Below are 7,482 nucleotides of genomic sequence, written 5' to 3'. Positions count from 1 at the left end.
CGAGACCCTCTCTCCAAAACAAACAAACAAACAAAAAACAAAAAAGAAGTAACTGGAAACATTCCATTTCTGACAATATGGGGGACCAAATATGAAAGACAAAATAATCATAAAGAAATTCTGGATAAAATAACCAACATTCTTTTAAGTGTGTAGCTGAGCCCTCAGAAAGAAAGAAGGGAGTGCCGGGACAGAAGCAGCAGTGCGGCCGCCACCACCATGGCACTGCAGGCTGATCGACAAGGCTGCAGAAGACGTGAGGAAGCTGCCAACAAGACCAGATGAGGGGTCGGGCGCAGTGGCTTACGCCTGTAATCCCAACACTTTGGGAGGCTGAGGTGGGTGGATCATCTGAGGTCAGGAGTTCGAGCTTGGCCAACATGGCGAAACCCCGTCTCTACTGAAAATGCAAAAATTAGCCGCAGGTGGTGGCGGGCGCCTGTAATCCCAGCTACACGGGAGGCTGAGGCAGCCGAATCGCTTGAACCCGGCAGGCAGAAGTTGCAGTGAGCCGAGATCGTGCCACTGCACTCCAGCCTGGGGGACAGAGCGAGACTCCATCTCAAAAAAAAAAAAAAAAAAAAAAAAAAAAAAAAAAAAAAAGCAGATAATAAAGAACTGAAAAAACTCGATGGACTTTACAAACAAGCTATAATTGGAGACATTAATATTGAGTATCTGGGAATGCTGGACTTTAAAGGGCAAGGCCAAATGCGCAGCATGGACCCTCCAAAAAAGGTTGTCAAAGGAAGATGCAACGAGTGTCTCTATTTCTAAGGCAAAAGAGCCGATAGAAAAATAGGACATTTAGAATACAGTGTATGAGAAATTTTTCCAGCCAGTTGCAGTGACTCACACCTGTAATCCCAAAACTTTGGGAGGCCAAAGTGGGCGGATCACTTGAGGTCGAGTTTGAGACCAGCCTGGGCAGCATGGTGAAACCCCGTCTCTACCAAAAATATAAAAATTAGCCGGCCATGGTGCATGCCCGTAATCCCAGTTACTTGTGAGGCTGAGGCACAAGAATCACTTGAACCCGGGACGCGGAGGCTGCAGTGAGCCGAGATGGCATCACTGCACTCCAGCCTGGGCAACAAAGCAAGACTCTGTCTCAAAAAAGAATACAGTGTATGAGAAAGTTTTCCTTTTGAAGCCTTGATAATGCTCTCATGACCTAACATTTAGAGGGAGAGAGGCACTGTTCACTCTAGGTATCATGTATATATTTGCTATTAGCAAGAATTGTAGTAACAGGAGTATGCTGAAACTACATAGTTCACTAAATTGTGCTTGCTTAAACCAGGTGTCCTTAAATGTTCTTTTAGAAAAGTATTTGATTTTTTATTTTTGTAGATTTAGGGGGTACAAGTGTAGTTTTGTCACGTGGATATATTATATAGTGGCAGTCTGGGCTTTTAGTGTGCCCATCACCCAAATAGTGTACATTGTACCCAAAAGGTAATTTCTCATTCCTCAGCCCCTCCCACCCTCCCACCTTTTCAAGTCTTCAGTGTCTCTTATTCCACACTCCATGATCCTGTGTACACACTGTTTAACTCCCACTTGTAAGTGGGAATGGGTGGTGTTTGACTTTCTGTTTCTGAGTTATTTGCACTTAAAATAATGGCCTCCAGTTCCACCCATGTGGATACATAAAATCAAATAAATAAATAAATAAAATCAAACATGATTTTATTCTTTTTTTATGTCTGACTGGTATCCCATCATGTACCATCTTTTCTTTATCCAGTCACCCATGGATGGACATTGGATTGATTCCAGGTCTTTGTTATTGTGAACTGTGCTGTGATAGGCATACAAGTGCAGGTATCTTTTGGATACAACGATTTCTTTTCCTTTGGGTGGATACCCAGTGGTGGGATTGCTGGGTAGAATGATAGTTCTATTTTTCGTTCTTTGTGAAATCTCCATGCTGTTTGTCATAGAGGTTGTACTGATTTGCATTCCCACCAATAGTGTGTGAGCGTTCCCTTTTTTCCGCATCCTCGCCAACATCTGTTGGTTTTTGACTATTTAGAAAGTCTTGCCCTGGTAGTATGTACACAGACTTTAACAATTATTTCTTCTTTTGGCTCATCTGTTCTCCTACAAGGAGTTGGTGTTACTGGTATAATAAAAACAGGTTATTAATTTAAAAAAAGGGCCAGGTACAGTGGCTCACATCTGTAATCCCAGCACTTTGGGAGGCCAAGGTGGGGAGATCACTTGAGGCCAGGAGTTCGAGACCAGCCTGGCCAACATGGCAAAACCCCATCTCTACTAAAATTACAAAAATGCCAGGTGTGATGGCATGTGCCTGTAATATCAGCTACTCAGGAGGCTGAGGCAAGAGAATTGCTTGAAACGGGGGAAGGCAGAGGTTGCAGTGAGCAGAGATCATGCCGCTGCACTCCAACCTGGGAGACACAGCGAGACCATCTAAAAAAATTAATAATAATAATTTTTAAAAAGGGAAGAAAAAACCCCAGAAAACTAGAGAGCTAGGCATACGAGTTAACGCTGTATCCACCCTGGGGATTTAGTGCTTGGCAGGGACATGGCAGCCTTGGGAGGCTGGGTTGCAACTCCAAGCAGGTACAGGAGACAAAGTCTTGTGCCTGGGAGTGGAAACTTCCACATCAGCTTGGGACTCTTAAAAGTGCTGTATCCTCAGTGAAAATGTGCATGGTGGTAAATTTTATGTGTCACATTGACTAGCCACGGGGTGCCCAGATTAAACATTATTTCTAGATGTGTCTGTGAGAATGTTTCTGGATGAGATTAACATTTCAGTGGATGGACTCAGTAGAGAACATTGCCCACTTCAATGTGGGTGGAAATCATTCAATCTCAATGGAACAAAAGGGTTATCTGTGGTGGAGGAAGGAGGTGGAAGAAGGAGGAAATTTCCCCTTTTGCTTCCTGCCTGCCTTCTTGAGCTGGAACACCTCATCTCATCTTGTCCAGCCTCTGGACTGGGATTTACACCATTGGCTACCCTGGTTCTTAAGCTTTCAGACTTGGACCAAATTACACCCCAAGTTTCCCTGGATCTCCAGCTTGCAGAGAGCAGACTTGTGAGACTTCAGAGCCTCTATAATTGCATGAGCCAATTCCTCAGGATAAATCAATCTCTTTCTCTCATGCTGATTCTACTTCTTTGGAGAACCCTAACTAATACATGGTGAAACAAACAAACAAAAAAAGATCACCTTTAAGCCCAGAGAAACACGGAAGCTTGTGTGACTTGACCTGAATTCTGGGTCAAGGCAAAAAAAATACTCCCATGATAATTAATAACCAAGGCCTGTTCTCAAGTGGTTTTGATGTCTGAACATACATTACTTTTATGGCCCTGGAATACCAAAAATAAGAAATAACATAGAAAGAGAGGAGCCTCAGAGAGGCAAATATAAAAGTGATCTAGAGGTAAGTTCACTAAGCCCAGACCTCACAGAGTTCCCACAGATTATGTTCCCATTGCAGATGAGTTTATAATCCAAAATTATAAAACATGTTATAAATTACAAAGCACTAGGAGACAGAAGAAAGTGCAGGATTAGACTCCTATAAATTTCATATAATAAAATAATTGGATGGAGATTATTAATAAAACTTTATGCTTAACTTTTTAGAAAGAAGCAGTGCCTTTTGCTTCCAATTAAGATGACATAACAGAAACTGGGTATACTCTTTTCCCTGAAACAACAACAAACAAGATAAAATATATAAAACAACAGTTTTGGCCGGGCATGGTGGCTCACACCTCTAATCCCAGCACTTTGGGAGGCTGAGGCGGGCAGATCACTTGAGGTCAGGAGTTCGAGACCAGCCTGGTGAAACCTCGTCTCTATTAAAAATACAAAAAATTAGCCATGTATGGTGACTTTGCCTGCAGTCCCAGCTACTTGGGAGGCTGAGGCAGGAGAATTGCTTAAACCCGGGAGACGGAGGCTGCAGTGAGCTGAGATTGCGCCACTGCACTCCAGCCTGGGCGACAGAGAGAGACTTTGTCCCAAAACAACAACAACAACAACAACAACGACAACAACAACAACAACAACAACAGTATTTAAGACATTGGACATCAGATAACAAAGGGCAGGGATATATGAGAGAAGGGAAACAAACCAGGTGAGCTCTATGATTGCCCCATATTACTGCCTAGAGGAAGTTTCCAAATTGCAGTGCAGAGAGGTGGACTTCAAACTGAGGCTGGTGTTCCCCCTGAGATGAGGAGACAGAGCAGGGAGTCCAGGGAGGCCAAGGAAGACAGAGTTTGTAGGGCAGGTACTGGAGAGGAGAGAGCCGCACAGAGATCAAGATCTGCAGAGATGTCCCTCAAGTCTTCAGTGGAGTACAGATCATGACACGCATGTTAGAAAAAGACCTGACCAAAAGGATTAGAGGGCCACATATGGCCAGGAGTAATTTTTGCCCATTACCCTAGAATGCAAAGCTTCATAATTCACACAGCATCTATCAGGTAGGATACTCAGAAGTGTTTTACCTCCGTGGTGGGACCAAAATAGTCCTAGACTAAACCCAACTCTAGTCCAGCCAAACAAACTTTAAAAACAAACTTTGGGCCAGGTGCGGTGGCTCATGCCTATAATCCCAGCACTTTGGGAGGCCAAGGCAGGTGGATCACCTGAGGTTAGGAGTTCGAGATCAGCCTGGCTAACATGGTGAAACCCCATTTCTACTAAAAATACAAAAAATTAGCCGGGCATGGTGGCACGCACTTGTAACCCCAGCTATTCAAGAGGCAGAGGCAGGAGAATCTCTTGAACCCGGGAGGCGGCGGTTGCAGTGAGCTGAGATCATGCCATTGTACTCCAGCTTGGTTAACAAGAGTGAAACTCCATCTCAAACCAAAAACAAAACAAAACAAAACAAAAAACACTTTGGCCAGGCGCAGTGACTCCCGCCTGTAATCTCAGCACTTTGGGAGGCTGAGGTAGGAGGATCACTAGAACTCAGAAGTTTGAGGCCAGCCTACGCAACATGGTAAAACCCCTGTCTCTACAAAAAACCTAAAAATTACCTGGATGTGGCAGCATGTGCCTATAGTCCCAGCTACTCGGGAGACTAAGGTGGGAGGATTGCTTGAGCCCAGGAGTTCGAGACTGAAAGTGAACTGTGTTGGCGCCACTGCATTCCAGTCTGGGTGACAAGAGTGAGATCCTGTATCAAAAGAAAAAAAAATAATAATAAAAGGCCAGGTGCAGTGGCTCATGCCTGTAATCCCAGCACTTTGGGAGGCTGAGGTGGGAGGATCACTTGAACTCAAAAGTTTGAGACCAGCCGGGACAACATGGTAGAGAAAACCCATCTCTACAAAAAAAAAAAAAAAAAAAAAAAAAAAATTAGCCCGGTGTGATGGTGCATGAATGTAGTCCCAGCTACTTGGGAGACTGAGGTAGGAGGATCACTTGAGTCCAGGAGGTTGAGGCTGCAATGAGCTATGATTGTACCACTGCCCTCGAGCCTGGGCAACATACAACTGTACAACTTTAATGTTTGAATTGTATGGTATGTAAATTATATCTCAATAAAGATTTTATTAAAAAGCAAAGAAAAATAGAAAACAATGGAGGGAAACATTTTACATACAGAGGAAGAAAGATAAAGATGGCAGAAAATTTTTATTTGAACCAACACAAGAGAGAGGACAATGGAACATCTTTAAAGTACCAAAAGAAAAAAATTTAGCTGGACATGGTGGCATGCACCTGTAATCCAAGCTATTGGAGAGGCTGAAGCAGGAGGATTGCTGGAACCCAGGAGGTTGAGGCTGCAGTGAGCCATGATTGTGCCACTGCATTCCAGCCTGGGCAACAGAGCAAGACCCTGTATCTTAAGAATTTTTTTTTAAAAGAAAGAAAAATGTCAACTTACAATTCTGTAACTAGCAAAACATTTTTCAAAAATGAAGGAAAAATGAAAACTTTTTAGCCATACAAAAGTTGAAAGAATTTATCACCAGCAAATCCACACCATAAAAAATGTTCAGGCAGAGAAAAATGATACTAAGCAGAGATCTAGATCTATGTAAGAAAATGACAAGCACAAGAAATGGCAACTGTATGGGTAAATATACAGACTTTGTTTCTTATTCTTTAACTCTCTTAAAAAAAAAACCATTTAGGGCCAGGCGCGGTGGCTCATGCCTGTAATCCCAGCACTTTGGGAGGCCGAGGTGGGTGGATCACAAGGTCAGGAGATCGAGACCATCCTGGCCAACACGGTGAAACCCTGTCTCTATTTAAAAAAAAAAAAATTAGCTGGGCATGGCAGCGCATGCCTGTAATCACAGCTAGTCGGGAAGCTGAGGCAAGAGAATCGCTTGAAACTGGGAGGCAGAGGTTGCAGTGAGCTGAGATCGTGCCACTGCACTCCAGCCTGGCAACAGAGCTAGACTCTGTCTGGGGAAAAAAAAAAAATTAAAGCAAAAATGATAATGTTTTGTGGGGTTTATAATATAAAGTAAGCTTCTTGACAAAAAACAGCACAAAGACCAAGAGCAGGAGAAAAGAAATGGAAGTATACTGTTATAAGATTCTTATACTAAGTACACGTGTAGTGGAATACTACTGCTTGAATGTAGACGGTGATAGGTTAAAGGTGTATACTCTAAACCCTAAAGCAACCACTAAAATAATGCAATCAAGAGCGACAGCTAGTAAGCCAATAAAAAATGAAATGGCATAATAAAAATATTCACTTTACCCAAAAGAAAGCAGAAAAAAAGAAAAAAGTGGAACAAATAACAGATCATTTAAACCCTTTCATATTAATAATCACATTAAATGTAAATGGCTTGAACACCCCACTCAAAAACAGAGTTTGTCAGATAGAATGAAAACGCAACAATCAACTATATGCTACAAGAAACCCACTTTAAATATAAAACATATTCATCAAATAAGAAAGCTTTGAAATACAGGAAGCAGAATTGATTGAACAGCAAGGAGAAACAGACAAATCTACTATTATAAGCAGATATTTCAACATCCCTCTTTTGATAATTAATAGAACAACTAGACAGAAAATAAGCAAGGATACAGACGACTTGAACAACACTTGAACAAATTTGACCTAATTGAGATTTATGGAACGCTTCATACAACTGCAGAATATATATTCTTTTCAAGTGCACATAGAACATTTACCAGAATAAACCATAGTCTCAGTCATAAATAAATCTCAATAAATTTAAGAAAATTAAAATTATATCAAGCACTCAGACCACAGTGGATCTGAAACTGGAAATCAACTTTAAAAGGAATCTTCAACACCGTGCAATTACATGGAAATTAAATAACCTGCTCCTGAATGAGCATTGGGTCACAATGAAATCAAGATGGAAATTTAAAAATTCTTCAAACTGAATGATAATAGTGACACAACATATCAACACCTGCGGGATACAGCAAAAGCAGTGCTAAGAGGAAAGTTCATAGCCCTAAATGCCTACAT

General features: G+C 41.9%; 1 pseudogene; it reads left to right on the top strand.

The window, feature by feature from the left end:
• The first annotated feature begins 219 nt into the window (after positions 1-219).
• LOC107984829 (acyl-CoA-binding domain-containing protein 7-like) lies at positions 220-802 on the top strand (annotated as a pseudogene).
• Positions 803-7,482: the final 6,680 nt, after the last annotated feature.

This window comes from Homo sapiens, chromosome 16 (genome assembly GCF_000001405.40).
Source record: "Homo sapiens chromosome 16, GRCh38.p14 Primary Assembly".
In the NCBI taxonomy this organism is placed as follows: Eukaryota; Metazoa; Chordata; class Mammalia; order Primates; family Hominidae; genus Homo; species Homo sapiens.
The sequence above is the reverse complement of the archived record's forward strand: the minus strand, read 5'-3'. Positions and strand labels throughout refer to the sequence as shown.